Genomic DNA, 20,671 nt, shown 5'->3' on the forward strand with positions numbered 1-20,671 from the left:
ATTAAGGGTTGGTCTGCCTTCCCAGCCCACTGACTCAAATGTTAATCTCCTTTGGCAACACCCTCCCAGACACACCCAGGACTGATACTTTGAATCCTTTAATCCAGTCAAGTTGATGCTTAATATTATCCATCACACCAACTTATACTTCATTTTGCTTGTATTTTTCAGATGGACCTGGATAAAGACTCTGCCAAATGTTTTTAACAAAATTTGCTGGGACTTAAAAAACTGTATTAGGGCTGCCATTCACCCTTAGTTCCCTGAAACATGATCACCTCCCACCAGCATACTGATAGCTAGCATACTGCGGGTATGAGCGCTTGTAGTGAACTACCATCTGAGTCCTCAGGGGCACCTTCTTTTTATGGCCATTTTTAAAAAGAGTGTTGTGGGTCTGAATGTCTGTGTGAGTGTGTACTCCCTAAGGAAAATGAGGGGAAAATCCTCTAAGAAAAAATATCATTCAAATATGAATTCTTATACCTCTTCTGTAAAATTATATCTGCTCTTTCATTTAATAATATCAAAATAATTACTAGCATCACTATTATTCTGCTCATACTATCCTACTTGCTGGAGCTCCAGGGGAAGCCAGGAGGGAAGTAGGCTAAGGGTCTCAGTGATGCAGGCAGACGCTTGCTCACTTTCTGTTTCTCTATCCACAGCTGGATCGGTCACTTGGTTTGGCAGTCCTAGCTCTTGTCCTTTAGTTTTGAACACTTGGTCTATGCTGTTTGTCTCATTTCTTCCACCTCACTATGAACAAATAGTCCTCAGCAAGAGTGTTCAAAAATTTTTCCAGTAGTGAATTGCATAAACATCTTTATATACAGCATGTATACATTTTATCACTCCTTTTTAAACTAAGATTTATTTTTATTAATAATTTTGAGTTGAGAGGGTCCATGCGAGTATTCAGTTTGATTCTAACCAAAATGTGCTATGTGTATTTGGGGTCTTTGTATGTGTATTTATATGTGTTTTCCTTTTACCAGGAAGGTTTCCTCATTGCCCAGTTTCATGCAACCAGTTCAATGGGATTAAACTTGAGTAGTTCAAAATAATTTAACTAATTACATTAAATTTCATTTACAATTTTTAATGATGCCTACTCTTAGGACATATAGCAGCAACATATTCAAAATAGTGGTGGGAAGGTGGAAAAGTTAGGGTATAGTTTGCGTTATGCCTAATTATGTAAAACATTTTTTTCCTATAAATCTTAAGGGGGCCACACATGCCCCAACCCACATTTGAGATGAGGACCATAAAATAAAGACCTGATTTTTTTTTTTTTTTTTGAGATGGAGTCTCGCTCTGTTACCCAGGCTGGAGTACAGTGGCGCAATCTCGGCTCACTGCAAGCTCCGCCTCCCGGGTTCACGCCATTCTCCTGCCTCAGCCTCCCGAGTAGCTGGGACTACAGGTGCCCGCCACCGCGCCTGGCTAATTTTTTGTATTTTTAGTAGAGACGGGGTTTCACCGTGGTCTCGATCTCCTGACCTCGTGATCCGCCCGCCTCGGCCTCCCAAAGTGCTGGGATTACAGGTGTGAGCCACCGCGCTCGGCCAAAGACCTGTATTTCTTATAGTCAGTGTAATTCAGTGCAATGCATCTTTATATAGGTTAGGTTGAGAAATCTCAGTTTGGTGAGGTGTAAACATGGAATGGTTATCTTTTCTTACCCCTAGTAACTATGACCAACTTTGCTTAATATTATTTCAGTCTGATCTGATAACTTCCATGCACTTCTGTTTTAAAAGTTTTATTTCCGGTAGATATTCATTTAACTGCATTTAGGTTATTATTGTTTATGGTTCTCATCCAGTTTAAAGTCTTTCTTCTCCACCCGTGGAACTTCTGTTCTACTGCAGTGGCCTCAGGCAGAAAAGGAGGACCTGGCTGCCCGCTCTCCCTTATTCTGTCTTCAGTGCCTGAATGTCTGACCCAGTAGGTGTGGTTGGAGGTGAGGGAATGAGTTGGTTCACGCAATGGTCCACACACCTCTGGTTCCTCTCCATTTTTTTTTTTTTTTTTTTTTTTTTGCAGTGGTTGCTTGCTATTCTGGCTGTCATTGGTGAGATAGAGCTGCTGACATCTGTTTGGACTGGTACCCTCTGCTTCCCTGGTACTCTTGGTGTGAGGGCAAAACACTTGCCCAAGCGTGATTCCCTCTGTCCTTCCTTCAAGGCTCATTTCACCCTGAGAGGAGCTGGTCCCTCCAGTGTTCATGGTAAAAACTTACCCAACTTTCCCCCAACACTGAGGATTGTGACACCCTTCAGGGTGCTCTTCAGTAGCCTCCAGAGAGACTGAGCCTCTACTTCTGGGAGTTTCCAGCTGCCTCTGCCTGTAGGTGAAAAATGGAATCTTTTCCCATTGAATGAGTTAAGGCAACAAGTCAAAAGCCCCTTCTTCCTCATGGGGGAGGAAATGGGGAAGGGATCATCTGTCCCCAGTACATCTCTGAATGAATGAATGAATGAATGAATGTAATAAAAAATGTTTCCTCAAAATTGAAGTATAAATTATCCCTTCTAACCATGTGTTACTAATTTGAATGTTAAAGATTTGTATTTGTAGGGTTGAAAGCATTTCTTAACTGAAAACGAGGGCAGGAGCCATCGGACACATGCCCTTCCCCATCTTCTTTGAGAGGAGAGTATGGGAAAAGAGTACCCTGGTCTTTGTTCCTCATCCACATTCTGGTATGGAGAAAGCTATTTTACTTATCATGAGCCTCAATTTCTTTATCTGTAAAATGGCAGCAAGTATCTCCCTGATTTTCTGTCTCAGAAGGTTCTGTGAATATTTAATGTAATGGCACAGGGTGGAGTTTCCAATCTTGGCGCTATTGATGTTTCGGGCTTGTTAATTCTTTGTTTTAGAGGGCTGCCCCATGTATTATAGAATTTATGGTCCCTACCTACTAGACTCCAGTGGCAGCCCCCTCACCTCAGTTATGACAACCAGAAATATCTCTGGACAGTGCTGGATGTTTTCTGGGGACAGGGGGCACATTTGCTCCTAGCTGAGAACCACTGGTATAAGTAAAGTGGCCATGGACTGGTCGAGAGCAAGCCATCCTAGAGCACCGTGTGCCACGTCAGGATTAAGGATTTAAACTGTTTAGAATTTAATGAGTTACACAAGAAAGGTTCCATGCAGCAGCGTTCTCTTTGATTGAGTTAAGTTGTACTAATCAGAGTATTACATCCATTGTATCGAAGAAGGCAAATGTATTAGACTAAATGATAAGAAGATAAAATCTAGGTGGTTAGAAGATTTTTAAATGTATAATTTTTTGGCGATGCATGGAATATTATTTAAAACAGGATGTACTAAAATATTGATTTTAGAAGTGCAGACAGATCTGGGTCTGTCAGATGTATATGAAGACACAAGCAAGATAGCAAGGAGGAACATGCAGAATGTTCACTTCTGTAGATGGCAGGATTGAGGTGGACCTGGAACAGAGAACTAGGCTGAAGTTGGCTCCCTCCTGCCTTGTGATGGCCCCTTCCCGCTGTGAGAGCTAGTACAGTGAAAAGACCCACTTAGCAGTGACAAACCATTCACTCAGGACTCAGCCTTGAGGGAGAATTGTGATGACGATAGGCAAGGCTTGCGTAGAAGACAAGAAGAAAGAACTTTTAGGAAAGAGCTTGCGCAGTTTACAAAGGGGTTCTCTAATTGTTGTATGCCTATTCATGTTGGCCCAGGCATGGCTGGTGCAAATAAATTAAGTTTTTGTGAATCAATCAGTTCTGTCACTTATGGCCTGCCTTCCTCTGTTGCTTTGCTTCATGGAAGAAAGTGTTGGAGGAAGCAGATTTCTTGTGTTCCTTTCACTATAAAGTATTGTCTCCCCATTGAAGGCCAGAGGCTGGGCTGATGAAACTGACTCTCAAATGTTTGATCTAAGTTTTTGTCTTCAGATAGGTGGTAGTGTGGTGTAATGAAAGAGCATGAGCAAGGAAATTGAGTAGAAGAGAGATCAAATGCTAGTCTGCCATCTATTAGCAAGTTACCACCACTCTTCCCTCTATTTCCTTATCTGTAAAATGGGGATAAAGAAAACTATTTTGCAAAGAAAACTTTTGCAGCATTGTTTTGAGGATCAGTTGGCATGCTGTGTGGAATGTGTCAGGATAGGGGGAGGTACTGAAAAATAGGAGCTATTAGGAATTACTATTTTTAAACACAAGGAATTCTAAATCTGAATTAAATGAAATGTTTTCAAATTAAATATACTTCAAATTTATATTTAATGAACTATAAATTAAATATGAATTAATCTTCATTTCAGGCCCTTTGTAATATTAGTAGGTTGGGGTCCTTTATCATTTCTGAGCTAAATAATCTTGTTTCATCAAAATATCCCAGGCTGGGTTACATCAACTATTGATGCCAGAGATGAAATAGGCCCTCAAGTTTATTCTTCTGGAATTAAAGTTTGTTATTGGGCTGAAGATTTGAATTTACCCACCACAGAGGCATGATTTCTTTGAGACCCACGGGGCAAGATGGTTTTCCTGATAGAGTCAGTATAGATAAAAAGTGGTGATGATTTTATTCTACACTTCATTAGGTAGACAGTAAGTTTAAAACGCATTAACAAAAAGCTATTATTTTCTAATGACTTATGATACTACTTATTTTTAGAGTGATATTTGGGTCTGTTGGATGGGAAACAAAATCTAATCGATTCTTTTACAGTGTAGCCCAAGACATAGAGGCCTACTTGAAACAATAGCTTGTTAACAATGTTAGTACCTCTCATTTTACAGTGAAATCATTTTGATAGAGTCTGCTATGCATTTGACAGCATGTTGGGAGATGATTAAAAGTTTTTTAAATCCTTTGATTCTAGAAGATATGAGAGGGAAAAGATTGTCCATTATTCTTTCAATAGGATTCAAAAAATTTGATATGAGCAGGTTGAAAGTGGGAGGGTGAAAACTAAAATGGAGCTATCTGTAAATAAAGGAAGGAAGGAAAGGGCTTCCAAAGAGAGCACGTGGGTGTGGTTAAAGAGCAGATTTTCTTTATAGACCATGTTACAGTACCTATTTACAATCACATTCCTATTCCTACCACTACTATATATCAAACTAAAACAGAGAGAATAGCTATGCCGTTTTGCCAGCAGGTGGCACCATGAGAATCTCCTAGAGGAAACAGGAAGTCCCTGAAAGCAAGACTGTTACTGTTTTCCCAAGTCCAGTCATCAATATATATTCATATTTTTGATGACATCATAAACATATCACTTAAAATATTTTCAGAAGATTCATTCTTCCTCTCCTTTTTCATATATTAGCATTGTTCATTCAAGAAATATTATATTCCCGGAAAATAATAGGGAGTTTAAAATAAAATTGTAATTCAATTATGTTTGTTTGTTTTTCTCTGTATTGCTTAATATAGTCATTTGAGGAACACATTTCCTTAGCAATAATGGCATATGTTATTGTCAGGCTATGTTAAACGGTTAGAGAGGAAGAAACTTAGAAGGCACCCTGTTTTCACACTCCTTTCCTGCCCTGGATGATGAGGATTCCCCATGCCCAAATATCTCTCCAATGCTAAGCAACCTCTCAGACTCAGGGGGGACCCTGTGCCGGAGATAATGGGCATTTCTGGCCTTTGAAAGCAACTCTAAGAAGGTTGGCTTTGTGAACTCGCCTTCGAAGCTTCCTGCACATTCCATGTGTTTTGGGGGAATTTGTTTTCCAGTGTTCCCATCTGGCTTTAGAGCAACATCTTTTGATCTGGTCTCATCAGCACATGCCATTCCACTATCACTAGCTGGGCTGGAACTAGGACCTTGTTCTATGGTGTTGGTGGAAACCTCTTGATTTTGGCATGGAACAGAGATGCCCTTGCTGGGGTCTACGTCCTTAGATGGATTCACAGAATCTTTCTCTTGGGCTTGTGGTTGCTCTTTTATGAAGCAGGCAGTTCTGTTATTTTGAGAGAGTGGCTGCTTTTTGCTCTTCATGGGGTCTTTGAGGCCAGCATCATGTGAAGGAGGCACCTGGGACTTGCTTTTGCATGTGTCTTGGGCCATACGGGTTGCCAATGCTCTGAGAAAGGACATAAAAGAAAGATCTCTGAAAACCAATAAAAAGGCTCTTCTTTAGACCTTTCAACTTATTAGGATGTGGCCCCCTTCAGTATCGGCCAAGGTAATATAGGTGGGAATGGGGTGGAGGGTGAAACTGAGTAGTAACAATGCAGGGAAAATGTCTCACTTAAGAAGTGGAACGGAGCATTTCTTCAGGAAAACAGTTTAAAGAGGTCATTTGGGAAGAGAGACTTAATGTCATACCCATGGGTTTAGTAATCCATTTCTTACCTCATTTTCTTAGCCTGTGGGGCTCTGTGCTTCTGCCTTCCCTGTGGTGAGAACACGAGAACATCTTCTGGTCTCTTCTGAAATCCATTCCCCAAATAAGAGGAGAACTTTTTCTTCATGGTTTCTGCTTTGAGTTAATTAAGAAGTGTTATGAGTTGGATTGTGTCCTTAAATTTTTTATGCTCAAGTCCTAACCCCCAGTACCTTAGGGTGGGACCTTATTTGGAGATAAGGTCTTTACAGAGAAAATCAAATTAAAATGAGGTCATTAGGGTGGGTACTAATCCTATATTACCGGTGTCCTTATAAGGAAAGGAACTTAGAACACACAGACACACACAGGGAGAGCACTAAGAGACACAGGGAGAAGACAGCCATCTGTAAGCCAAGGAGAGAGGCCTGAAACAGAGCCTGCCCTCACAATTTTCAGAAGGAACCAGCATGTTTGACATATTGATTTTGAACTTCTAGACTCTAGAATTGTAAGGCAATAAATTTTTGTTGTTTAAGGCACCCGGTTTATAGTTCTTTGTTATGGCAGCCCTAGAAAACTAATATAAGAAGAAGAAAAATAATTCTGCAAACTGGGCTTTCAGAGAACCAATGTGTATAAACCTTGGTGTATATTACACATTAGGTTGATCTGGTGTGATAGATGGAAATGGAAAATTTAAAGCAGTTTTCCAGTGTTTGCGTAGTATATGTTAAAGAGGATTTAGAAACACTAAGATCAGAGGTTTAAACCAGCTAAGCCCCTGGAGGTTTCCTTTGAACATTTTACTTGGCAAGCACAATGTTTTCAAAAACAAAATGACTGGGTGTGAGTGGATTGTCTCCTTCACCACAATTATGTGACCTCCTACCCACCTGTGAGTTTGCAACTGCCAGCCGTGACTAAGTGGACTTTTCACTTGTTGAGTTGATGTTTTAGCATCTTGCAGTCATAGCTGCTATGGAGAACTCAGTCAGTTTTTAAGACATCTCATGAATTGGTCATTTAGAGTTGAAAGTCTTGGACTAGTTTTGCTCTAATGGGAGAGAACTCTTTAAATCTACAGTTCGGTTAGTAGGCACTAAGCAGAGGGAATATGACCAGATAGGGAACCCAGAATTCACATTGACTCCCAATATTCTTTCATATGATCACTTCTTTGTGAAGTGATCAGAGCAAGGAAGAGTTCTTTGTGAGCCTTTCTTCCTTTGTTGTCTCCTTGGGGTCTTTTGTGGGGGTTTCTTCCATGTAAGAACTTCACCTATTCCATATAAATTGAGGGATTTTGAGCTACTTCTCCCAGCAAGATCTGTTTTCTGAAATTTAGACCTATGGGCCCAATAGGTTCAAAAATGAACATATCTTTTCTCTGAAACTTGATGTTTCTCCAATGTTCTCTCTGTGAAGGTATGGTACTTCTGCCCACCCAGTTACCAGATTTGACAAGCTCGTTTGAGCGCCTACTTTGTGCCAGGTAATATACTTTTGATTCTGGTTTTCTTTACCCTTGGATATATATTTAGTCTTAAAGCTCCGACAATTCTACTTTCTAAATATCTTGAGATGCTCATCTTCTCATTTTCTTCACCTGACCAATGCCCTAGTTTAGGCCTTGAAACCATGGCCTGAACTTTGTAATTCTATCAGGTCTACTCTGACTATAGTCTGAGGTCTATTTTACCTTAAACTTTGCATCCAGAATTATCTTTTTAACATTTGAGCATGTAATTTTCACCAGTCTCAAACCCTACAGGGTGAACTCTCAACTCTTTTGCAAGACCTGTGAAGCCATTCATGATTGGATTGGATTGGAGACATTGGCTATTTTGTGTTGTCTCTGAAAACTGCACCTACACCTCCTCTTCCCCACTTCCATGTCACATGCCTGCAGTACTGAGCTATTTGAGGCAAGCAGTGATCATGTATGCGCCTTTATACATACTATTCCTTCTGCTGGGAGTGGCCCCATTCCATACGTCCTCCTGACAAACTTCCCGCCCTTTCCCCCATTTTCCTCCTCCTCTAAGATTCTGCTCACATACTGTGTCTTTTGGGAAATCTTAGCTAAATTCCTTTGATAGACACAGGAACCTTTTTATGTTCCTGCCCTACTTTGTGAAGAACTCAATTAGCAGTTTTGATCATCATTTTTTATAAGCGGAACTACTGTCCAATTTAAATATGGGCACCTTGAGGGCAGAGACCATGCTTTTTCATATTTGCATTCCAGACTCTACCTGAGTAGCTGTTTTGCAAAGTCTGGTCTGAAATACAGCTGTCCCAGAATAATCTACCTTAGTATCATCTCAGTTAAAAATGTGGATTTTTAAGCCTAATTTCTAACCTGCTGACTCAAAGGACTGGCAACATGCATCTTAAATAATTCACTCACTGGCATATCATTGAATCTCAATAACAATTCCATTTAAATGAATCATGGAAAACTATTGCCTAGCACAGTGCCTAAGAAATATTGAGACTTAATACATATTGCTTCCTTCCTGTATCCCTGATTTTACTGTCAAGAAGTCTGAGGCTTAGAGAGAATATGACTTCCCAAAGGACATGGAGGCAGAAGCACCTGAATCAAAGTTTTCTGCCTCCTGATTCATACTCTTTCCAACCCAACTCTTTACTCAGCCAGGAAAGCCACTTACTAGGGCCTGGCCTTTTGTACACCCTCCTAAAAGTAGGCATCTGATCTTCAGTGTCCTTTTTGAATAAGAGTGGGAATCAACTAAATGGCTTCTAAGACCCTTTTCCAGTATGTGAGCTCTCATTCTAGGTTGGTTTAACCATTTATTGCAGACAGGGAAATTGAAAGCAGAGGACTTCAGTTAGTTACTCAGAGTATCTTTCAAACCCAAAGCTGGAGGTTAGAAAGAATTCCCAGCCTAGACATTTGGCTGTTACTCTTGGCCTTTATGTCATGTATAAGCTGTGTTGACCTGAAATATTTTATGTTCGTTTACAGCACCTGGCCTTCCTCTTGAACATGTTCTGTCCATTTCAGACTCCTGAGTTCTGGCACTCTCCTTCAGTAAGAAAGGATGTAGTCTTCAAGAGCTGAGATATTTCTTTCCTGTGCTGAATTTTTAAGTAATATTAAAATCTAATTATTTTAATGATGAACAAAGGAGAACTAGTTTCTACAGACTGTACAACTGTGACTATTTTCAACAAAGACAGTAGAAGGGTTTCAATTGTGTAACAATTTTTAATTGATAAGAGTGGGCACTTATATAGCACTTACTTTATGTTTTGGTACTATTCCAAGTGCTCACTGAATCCTCAAATAACTTCATAACATAGGAAATACTTTTATTTTACATTGGAGGAAGCTGAGGTACTAATTCCAGAGAAATTTTTTCTTTCTTTTCTTTTTCTTTTTTAACTTTCATAAAGTGGGCTAGGACAGTGACTTGCACATGAGTAACTGCTCAATAAATTGTTGTTAGATCCAAAAGAGAAAGATCAGATATTTAAAAAGGGGTGAAACCAAATCAGCCCAGATAATGAAAGAAAAGCAAAATGAAAAATAAAATTTAAAAGTAGAAAACGAAGGATTTAAGCAAGAAAGAGCTAACTTGAAAGATGGCAGTGACTGGAAGCCTGAGAAATGTTAGCTCAAGAAGGCTTATGAGTAGGCTGCTGCAGGGAGCTATGTAATTGACAGGGGAGGGACAAGGAAGGTTAGGCAGCCTAAAGTCCTGGCTGTGATCAAAAGCTCTTGCTGTCTTGGCACTCAGAGCTCTGAAAGGGCCTCAGCGGAGTGATGGGCCTGCTGCCCTGCTGTGCCTCTGGGGCATCCTCCTCACCAGTCCTGAAAGTCTTACCTTGCTGCAACCTCTGCAGTTCTTTTTGGAGCTGCCTCTGCTCCCAGGTCAGCAATTTCACATGGTAGAGGCAAATAACCTTTAGTCTCTGCAGTCTTTGGTCCAGTCTGGCTTCAGCCTGCTTGGCATTCTTCCTCTCCAAATCAAAATGCTTATACAATTGTCCCCTGACCATGTGCCTCTCCATCTTCTTTATGGTCTAGAGACAATAAGGTATCACAAATAACCTGATAAATGGAAGACTGGGATACTGACCCCGGCTTTTAATCAGAGATCAGTGGTAGAACCTGTGTATTTCTGAAACCACAGGTGCCTAGTCAGATGAAATCACACTATTGTTAAATGAGTTTCCAGAGTAACACAGAAGGATTGAGGGTAGTCATTCCTCTGAGCCTCAGCCTCCCTGTCAATAAAATAGTGATACAATACAATAGGCTCCCCCAACACAGATCCCAGTCAGATTTCCAAGAAGATCAAGTGAGAAGTGTAAGAACAACTCTTTGGAAAAAAAAAAAAAAGGCAGTCTACATATATAAGGCATTATTTACCCAATAAGAAAAGCCTCTTTTACTGTTTCTTAAAGGCTCCCAAAGAGACTGCTCAGAGGTCTGGAGAGGATTTAGGAACTTAGGACACGGCCATTCCTTCCCACACCCTGCCAGTTCATTAATTCACATATGCGTAGGTTCATTCAGCCTGTAATCCTACTGTATGCCAGGTGCTATGCTAAAAGCTAAGAGTAATGGTGAATGAGGCCCAGTTCCTACTCTCAAGGGGCTTTCTCGAAAAGTGGAAGATTGGGGTATCCTGATTATAAAGTAGAACAGCATCCACGATGAGTAGTCTGGGCAACACTGGGGAAGCTGCTTAGACTGGGCGAAAGCTCCTCTTCTCATCCTCACCCATCTTCTCAGACTTTAGATGCTCTCCTCCCTCCATGTACCCTGATGTCTAAGCCCACACCTACTTCTTTCTCCTCTAAATAGCGCTAAGTAGGGACACATTTTTCTCTCCTTTGAGTCTCTATAATACTTTTCTCAGAGCTAAGAGCACAACATGTGCTCAGGATATAAACAGATTGCTGTCAATAAAAGGTTTGGTGATTTTTTTTTTTTTGAGACAGAGTCTCACTCTGTTGCCCAGGCTGGAGTGCAGTGGCGCGATCTCAGCTCACTGCAACCTCTACCTCCTGGGTTCAACCGATTCTCCTGCCTCAACCTCCCTTGTAGCTTGGACTACAGGCCTGCACCACCACGCCTGGCTAACTTTTTATATTTTTAGTTGAGGTGGGGTTTCACCATATTGGCCAGGCTAGTCTCAAACTCCTGACCTTGTGATCTGCCCGCCTCAGCCTCCCAAAGTGCTGGGATTACAGGCATGAGCCACCACACTCGGCCGAGGTTTGGTGATTATAATACAGAAAAAAAGCTTAACATTAAAAAGGAAGATAAGGTCAGGACATGGGAAAGAAATACATTTTAAGGCACTTGTTTTAGAGTCTAAAGTATAACTAAACTTTTATTAAAGAACAGGGCCAGTAGAACTTACCTCCAAATCCAGAGTTTTCACCATGAGACTATGTCTTGTTTCTTTTGCTATGTCAGACTGAGTCTTGATTAATGAGCTTATTTTTCTTCAGTAAACTTAGGAGTTTGGTGTTTGGAGAAAGGATAGAGGGAGACCATTGGAGAGGGCTGCGAGGAGAATGTTAAATACACTTGAAAGCTCTCTTCGTCCCTCCCTACCTCCCCTGGTCAGGAATGCTAGCTCCTTGGGCCATGGCACCAATCCCTGCTGGAGAGGCCAGAGCTCTAAATAGCTCTGTGGGTAAAAGAAGCCTGCCAGCTTCTAGCCTGTCCCTAGAGGGGCCCACAGTGCTCCTTCTCGGCTGTGTCCATGGGAGCCAGGAATGAAAGCAAGGAGTGTGTAACTGTGTTCTCAATCTCTCTCTCTCCTACCCTTTCCTCGTTTCTCTCCATTTTTTTTTTTTCTCTCTTTGTCATACCTCCCTTCCCTAACCTTCATTCCTACTTCTTGAAAACCAGGTCAGCCTCAAAAGAAAGCACCGTTTTTTCTGTCATGACTGTTCACACTTCGTGCAGGAGAGAAGTTAATTTGTTTATTATGTGTTATTGCACACCGTACTGACCTTCCCCAGGCCTTTCCACATGCTCAGAGCACTTCGGTGCTTATCAAGATTTTCAAAGTGGTGAAAACAGCACTAAGCAAAGTAAAATTAAAATCAACTTTTGTGCCCATATTTTGAACAGCTACCGTAGAAGGTTGAGCAGAGCTATTGTTTATATAACAAGATACTGAGTGGGATTTTTACTGTTGCCTTGGAGCTTCGTCTGAAAATAAGACGCACTGATATGCCACAGTCTAAATAGAGCTGCCAACACTGGGGCCTGATAATCCCCCCAGAGTTTACTGAGAGGCAGGCAGCTAAACAGGCCCTACTAACCACAATCACTGCCCAGCAAATAAATAATTATAAAGAGATTACGAGGGGTGGCAGGGAGGAAGAGGAGCATGCTATTTTCTCAGTGGGAGGTAGTTCCTTTCCCATCCTTTCTCATGAGGTAATTCCCTCACCTCCAGAATTTAAATGAATGAGGTGGGATTCCAAGAAAATTATCTGGGAGAATGAGATGCCACACAAGGAGAGACCAGGATCGGGATTGTACCCCCAGCTAGAGGCTTGCTGACTGCAGAACAATAGAGCAGCCCCCATTCCATCCCTTTGTTGCCACTATAGCTGATGATAGTGAGGGATTTCTTAGAAAAGCTTGGTTCCTGCATGGCATTTTGAGAGGGAACTGAAGAGGAAAAGCTTGCAGAAATAATCTATGGCTAAAGGGCAAGAAGGAGCCTTAGTGTGGAGTGCCTAGGAAAAGAATGGTGGCCAAAGCCATCCTAGTTACTCTCAGCCCTCTGAGAATGCCAGAGAGGACCTGGCTCCATGGGAGGGAGCAGAGGGGTTATATGAGGTGGCGGAAACCATGGCATAGTCATCACATTGCTCTTCTTGGAAGACAGTGCTTCATCTGGAGGGGAAATAGAATCACAGGCAGGGCCAGAAGGAGGCAGAGACAGAAGGGATGTGAGTGCAGATGAACTCCCTCATAAAACCACACATCTCGAAAGCAGAGGACACGAGAACACAAAGAATAGACAGGAATATCTATCTATGGGAACATAGGAACACAAGAATAGATAGGAAAATACCAGTCATGCCTTAGCATCACAAATGTGGCAGTTATATAGGAAGATCTCTGCCTCCTCTATTCTCTCCTAGCCCATGACCTTAAAATGGTTAGTGTTGAAAAGACAAGGGAGAGGAGGTATATAAAAAGATCATGCCTTTTCCACTCCAAGGGTTGGAGAAGGAAGAATGATAGAGCAGATAATCCTCCTTTCCCATCTCCAAACTTCCTGGAGTCCAGTGAGGAGTTTAAATTATATGTGAAACTGGAGCTTCAAAGTGGAATGGACTTTTTTTTTTTTAATAAACAAAATGGCAAGAAATGTGTAGAATTTGCCCAGGATATCATTAAGGAACAAGAAAGAAAATCAGCGAAGATAGTGATTGAAAGTATAAAGCTATCATTCTCAGATCATGTTCTTGCTTCCACCACCAGAGAAAGAAATAGTTCAAACTGTTCAGTAAAGTGATTTTGATTAAAATACAATTTTACAGAATATATTTTTAATGCACATCCGTGTAGTTTTCTATAATTCTCTCTGTTTTACATGGAGTCACACCCTTTTGTAGTCAAAACACATCTGGAATCAAAGAATCTGTCATTTATAGACTATGTGACTGTCCTATCCCTTGGTTTCCTTATTTGTAAAATAGGTTAAAAGTATCTTTATCATAGGTTTTCTGATAGAATTGAATGAAATGATCAATTTAAAGTAATTCATGTATAGTAGATGTCCAATAAAAGTTAGCTCCTGATTTTCAGCAAAGATGGAGCAATAGGAACTAGATTTACTTTTCTACATGAAACAATTTAAAAAAGCAGAAAAAATTCATGAAATTAAAAAAAACTGGACATCAGTCAGATAGGATGGTGATCCCTGAGAGAGTGGAAACAAACCAGGGAATCATTATTATTGCTACAGCTTACTGTCTGGAAAGGGTTTCCGGACTACAGCACAAGAATTGAGCAACGAGGCAGGGGTTCCTGACTTGAGGAGACAAAGGTGTAAGTTCAGAAAGACCAAGGTATCCAGAATTAGCAGGGTACAGTAGCAGATCTAAGAAACTCAATGAGGCCGGGCGCAGTGGCTCATGCCTGTAATCCCAGCACTTTGGGAGGCCAAGACAGGCAGATCACAAGGTCACGAGTTCGAGACCAGCCTGGCCAACATGGTGAAACCCCTTCTCTACTAAAAATACAAAAATTAGCTGGGTGTGGTGGTGGGCACCTGTAATCCCAGCTACTCGGGAGGCTGAGGCAGGAGAATCATTTGAACCCGGGAGGTGGAGGTTGCAGTGAGCTGAGATCACGCCATTGCACTCCTGGGTGACAGAATGAGACTCCATCTCAAAAAAAAAAATATCAATGAATCTCAAGCAAAAGATATATGAATTAAACTTCTCCAAGGTATATAAAATAAAATTATTTTAAAAAGTAATAAAGAGATAATCTTAAAAACAGCCAAATTTAAAAAGGTACATTACATACAGAGGAACACAATAAGAATTACACAGACTTCCTACCAAAAATGATGAAAACCAGAAGATAGTGGAGCAAAACTTTTTAAGTTCTGAAAGAAAAAAATCAACCTAGAATTCTGTACTCAACAAAAATATCTTCAAGAGTTAAGGAAAATTGAATAATGTTTCAGTCACACAGAAGCTTAAATAATCCTTCAACAACAGACCTACAGTTCAAGAAACGTTAAAGGTAATTCTTCAAGCAAAAGAAAAATTATACCAGATGGAAATCCAAAGCTACAAAAAGAAAGAAAGAGCACCAGAAATAGTAACTACATGAGGAAGTATAAAGACTATTTTTCTTGTTATATAAATCTCTTTAAAATGTAATTAACTGTTCAAAGCAAAACAGAAAAATCTAGTGTGAGATTTACAGCATGTAAACATGTAAACAGCATGGGAACAGTAATACAAAATTCGAGTGAGAATAAATGGAAGTTTACTGTTATAAGGTTCTTATAATATATTTGCAGCATTATAATATGACTTGAAGGTAGAATGTAATGAGTTAAAGCTGTATACTCTACACTCTAAAGCAACCACTAAAATAATATAACAAAGAATTATAAGAAATCAACAAGTAAGATAAAATTGAATTATAAAAAATACTAAATTTGAAATAAAGCAGAAAAATAGGAAAGAGGAAATAAAAGAACAATTTGGATAAACAAGAAATAAATGGCAAGATGATAGATTTTAAACCCAAATATATTAAGAACCATAATAAATGTAAATGGTCTCAGTACCCCATTAAAAGGCAGAGATTTTCAGATCAAATAAAGTAACAAGGCCACACTATATCATGCTGACAAAGAAATAAACCGAAAACACTTTTGTAAAGTATGAACAAATGAATAGGTTAAGAGTAAATGAATAGAAAAAGATATACCATGCTAACACTAAATAAAAGAAATTAGAGAAAGCTATATTTATCCCAAATAAAATAGTATTCAGAGCCAATAATATTAATAGGAATAAAGAGGGTAATTTCTTAATAATAAAGGGATTAATTCATCCATAATAAAATCCACAATATTTTGCACCTAATATGGGAAGCAAAAACGAATAGAATTACATGGAGGAATGAACAAACCCACAGCTATTGTCAGTGGCTCCAACATCCTTTTCTCAATAAGTTAGTGAAAAAGTGTAGAGAAAATTAGTAAGGCTAAAGGAAATTGAAACAACACTATCAACCAACTTGACCTAATTAACATTTATAGAATGTTAATTATACCCAACCACAAATACCCATTCTTTTCCAGTGCACAAGGAACATTTATCAAGATAGACCACAGGTGGGCCATGAAACAAGTTTTAATACATGTGAAAAATTAAAATAACAGTGTATTCTGTTTCGTGTCGCTATAATGAAATACCTAAGGTTAAGTAATTTATAAGAACAGAAATGTATTTTCTCGTAACACAGGGTTGATTTGATGTTTAAAAACCAACATGATTTAACCATATTAACAGAATATAGGCAAGAACCATAAAATCATTTGAATTAAAAATCATTTCACGAGATCCAATATCAATTTCATCAAACTAGGAATAGAAGGAAATATCTTCAACCTGATAATTAGCATCTATAATAAACCCATAGTAAACATTATACTTAATGGGAAAATACCCCCAAAGAGTTAGAACAAGGCATAGATATTTGCTCTTACCACTTCTACTATTGTATTAGAGGACTTAGCTACTTCAGTGAGGCAAGAAAAAGATATACAGACTGGAAAGGAAAGCACAACTGTCTTTATTCACAGATGACATAATTTTCTGTGGAGAAAATAGTAAGGCACTTATATCTTGTGTGATTTTAGCAAGATCACATGATAATATATCAATATACAAAATATGTTTAGATATATTAACATAAAAATATTGTAAATTAAAAATACCATAATGAATCACAAAACATTTAGAAATACATTTAATAAAATATAGAACTACAAAATGTTTTATAGGGAGATTAAAGAAGACCTAAATAGGCCAGGCATGGTGGCTCATGCCTGTAATCCCACCACTTTGGGAAGCTGAGGCAAGTGGATCACCTGAGGTTAAGAGTTCGAGACCAGCCTGGCCAACATGGTGAAACCCAGTCTCTACTAAAAATACAAAAATTAGCTGGGTGTGGTGGGTGAGGCAGAAGAATCACTTGAACCTGGGAGGCAGAGGTTGCAGTGAGCCAAGACGGTGCCACTGCGCTCCAGCCTAGGCGACAAGAGTAAGACTCCATCTCAAAAAACAAAAAACAAAAAACCCTAAATAAATGAGGAGATATATCATGTTTATGGCTAGAATCCTAAGTATTTTAGACTGCCAATTCTTCTAAAAATTATCTGTAGATTTAATCATGATCAAAACCCTAGCAGACTTTTTTTTTCTGGCAAATAAAGGTGACTCTAAAATTCAAGTGGTAATACAAATGACTTACAGTAGTCAAAATAATTTTGAAAAGAATGAACAAATTATATAGGACTTAATATTATCTGATTTCGAGACTTATTCTAATGCTATAGTCAATAAGATTGTGTAGTGTTGGTATAAAGGTGAACATGTAGGATCACTACCACAGAGGAGACTTTAGAAGTAAACTCACACATTTAGTCAGTTTATTTTAGAAAGAAACACCAATATAATTTAATGGGGGGGAAAGAATATTCTTTTTACAAGTAGTATTGGAACAATGGGTATCTATGTGGAAAAGAAATCAAATTTCAATTTTTATGTTATCCCCTACACAAAAATTATTTTAAAATTGATTATATACCTTAACATGCTGGCAAAAACTACAAAACTTCTAGAAGAAAAATAAGAAAAGAAAATTTTTGTAAACTTGAGTTTGGCAAAGATTTCTTATATAGCAGAAAAAAAGACCAAACTATAAAAGAAAAAATTTGATAAAATTGACTTAATAAAAATTAAAACCTTCTGTTCTTAAAAAAACACTACGAGGGAAAACAAAAGGCAAGCAAGAACCTGTTGGAATATATTGACAACGCAAAAAAACCTAACCAAAAAACTCTATCTATATCTAAATAACACCAACAACTTAACATTAAGGACACAAATAACTCTATTTAAAAATGCAAAAAATACTTGAATAGACAATCCAAAAGAATATACAAATGGCCAATAAACAAATGAATATACATTTAATTTAATTAGTCATTAGAAGATTAAAACAACGAGGTAACCCTTTTTACCGTTAGCACAATTTAAATTTAAAAAAAGTGGTAAAAGCAAGTATTGGTGAGAATATGGAGCAACTGGATTTTATTCATTGGTTTTGTGAACATAAAATGGTATGACCATTTTGGAAAACATTTTGGGAATTTCTTACAAAATTCAACATATACTTACATATGACCCAGCACTTCCACTGCTGGATACTTAACCAAGAGAAATGAAAGCATGTGCTCATAAAAAGATTTGTATAGAAATATTGTATAGCAGCCTTATTCATAATAGTCGCAAACTGGAAACAACCCAAATGACCATCAACAAGTGAACTGATAAACAAATTGTGGTTCATCCATACAATGGAATACCACTCAGCAATAAAAATAACGATACATTAATATGGGCAAAAGCATGAATGAATCTTACAGATAACATGCTGGTAAAGAGGCTGGATAGAAAAGAGAAGTGGATTCCATATATTTGAAATATTATAACATGCACAATTAATCTATGATGACAGAGATCAGATCAGTGGTTGCCTGGGCTGAGAGGTATAGATAAAGACTGATTACAAAAAGGAATGAAGGAACTTTCCTGGGAGACAGAGGTGATAATTACTTGCTGCATATATTTGTCGAAGCCAACAACCTAAGGACTTAAACTGTGAATTTTAGTGGATATAAATTTTATCTCAGTAAAGTTGATTTTAAAAAAAACTTAATATCATAGTAAAAGAAAGTAATTTTCAGGCAAGTAAACAAAAAATAGAGTTTGTCTCCACTAAATAAAATTCTGCAGGATGTATTTGAAGCAGAAAGAAATGTTTCTAGATGTAGGACTAAGATACAAGAAGGAATGAAGGGCAAAGAAAGTGGTAAACATGTGGGTACATCTAAATGAAGATTGAATGTATAAAACTGGGACTTGGAAAATGATAATTCAAAGTAACACAGCACAGAGCTTTCAAAAAAGAACAGTTAATTGTTCTGAGGTTCTTTTTTTGCCCTGAGAAAGGTAAAGACATTAACATTATACTTTCATAGATTAAGATTCATGTTGTCAATTGTGAATTTTAGCTCCAGATCAACTGCAAGAACAAATCAACAATCCCAAAAGGACCCACAGACCCTCTGGAGGAAGTGGACTGCTCCTGCAGGACCCGGGAGAACACCCCAAATGCTGTGTGTCCCAGCTGTGGAAGTGGGAAAGGGAGACCCTCCTCTCCCAAACGCACACCCCCACTGGAGAAACTGAAGACCTCTTTGTGGGAGAAGTTACCTGGAGTTGAGTCAATTTGGAGAGCCAAGTGAAATACAGGGGTGGAGGAGGCAGTGGAGAGGTCCTGGGGGCTCACTGCATCTCCTAGCAGGCCATTCCTGCCTGGCACCATGGGGATCCATCAGGAGGGTGACCAGAGGAGCAGGGGTAGAACTCCATGGGGAGAGGGAAATGTCCAGCTGAACTTTTTAACAATTTGGATGGGGCGAGACGCCTCCTGGTCAGAACTCAGGGGAGGGCGCAAATCTGGTGTGCAGACTCCACAGGTGGGGGACGAACCAAGCCCTTTTCTTTAGCAGCCGGTAGCCTGGGGCAAGTTTTCAACCCTGTTACAGCCTCCACCTGGAAACAGACTTGGGGTTGTTGCGGGGGGGCATGGTGGGAGGGAGACCAGCCCTTCATTTTGTGTGGGAGCTGGGTGAGGCCTGTGACTGCTGGGTTTCCCCCACTTCCCTGACAACCTGCGTGACTCAGCAGAGGCAGCCATAATCCTGGGTACACAACTCTATTGACAAGGGAACCTCACCCCCATCCCCCACAGCAGCCAAGCGAGACCCACCCAAGCAGAGTCTGAGCTCAGACACGCCTAGCCCCGCCCCCACCTGATGGTCCTTCCCTACCTACCCTGGTAGCAGAAGAAAAAGGGCTTATAACCTTGGGAGTTCTAGGGCCCCACCCACTGCCAGTTCCCCCCAGTACTACCACAACTGATGCTTTCTGGAAGGCGCCACCTCAGGCAAGAGGCCAACCAGCACAGAAATAGAACATTAAACAACCAAAGCTAAGAACCCTCACTGGGTCCAGTGCACCCCACCACCTCCACTGGAACAGACACTGGTATTCATGGCTGAGAGACCCACAGACAGTTCACATCACAGGACACTCTGTAGACAACCCCCAGTGTTAGCCTGGAGCCAGGTAGACTCTCTGGGTGGCTAGACCCAGAAGAGAGACAACAATCACTGCAGTTTGGCCCACAGGAAGTTACATCCATAGGAAAAGGGGGAGAGTACTACATCAAGGGAACACCCCGTGAGACAAAATAATCTGAACAACAGGCTTCAACCCTAGACCTTCCCTCTGACAGAGACTCCCCAAATGAGAAGGAACCAGAAAACCGACCCTGGTAATATGACAAAACAAGGCTCTTCAGCACTCCCCCCAAATCACACTAGTTCACCAGCAATGCATCCAAACCAAGAAGAAATCCCTGATTTACCTGAAAAAAAAATTCAGGAGGTTAGTTATTAAGCTAATCAGGGAAGGACCAGAGAAAGGCGAAGCCT

General features: G+C 39.8%; 1 protein-coding gene across 2 annotated transcripts, besides 1 other annotated feature; it reads right to left on the reverse strand.

Annotated features, from left to right (window-relative positions):
• Positions 1 to 1,752: 1,752 nt before the first annotated feature.
• CCDC190 (coiled-coil domain containing 190) lies at positions 1,753 to 19,566 on the reverse strand. 2 transcript variants are annotated; one of them, NM_178550.6, is made up of 4 exons: positions 19,386 to 19,566; positions 10,193 to 10,391; positions 6,365 to 6,491; positions 1,753 to 6,092 (listed from the first exon to the last, which is right to left on the reverse strand). In NM_178550.6, the coding sequence occupies exons 2-4, from the start codon at positions 10,377 to 10,379 to the stop codon at positions 5,498 to 5,500; spliced, it is 909 nt and encodes a 302-aa protein (NP_848645.3). In that variant the 5' UTR covers positions 10,380 to 10,391; positions 19,386 to 19,566; the 3' UTR covers positions 1,753 to 5,497. The 2 variants fall into 2 exon arrangements, with proteins under 2 accessions (NP_848645.3, NP_001380994.1); NM_001394065.1 differs by lacking the exon at positions 19,386 to 19,566 and adding an exon at positions 11,741 to 11,908 and having other exon boundaries at positions 6,365 to 6,488.
• Positions 5,012 to 5,306: an enhancer, noted in NCBI's record as "tiled region #14373; K562 Activating DNase unmatched - State 12:CtcfO". NCBI's record gives its function as "activates a minimal TATA promoter and a strong SV40 promoter by Sharpr-MPRA in K562 cells {active_cell/tissue: K562}" and the evidence as "EXISTENCE:reporter gene assay evidence [ECO:0000049][PMID:27701403]".
• Positions 19,567 to 20,671: the final 1,105 nt, after the last annotated feature.

The sequence above is a fragment of the Homo sapiens genome, chromosome 1 (assembly GCF_000001405.40).
Source record: "Homo sapiens chromosome 1, GRCh38.p14 Primary Assembly".
Lineage (NCBI taxonomy): Eukaryota > Metazoa > Chordata > Mammalia > Primates > Hominidae > Homo > Homo sapiens.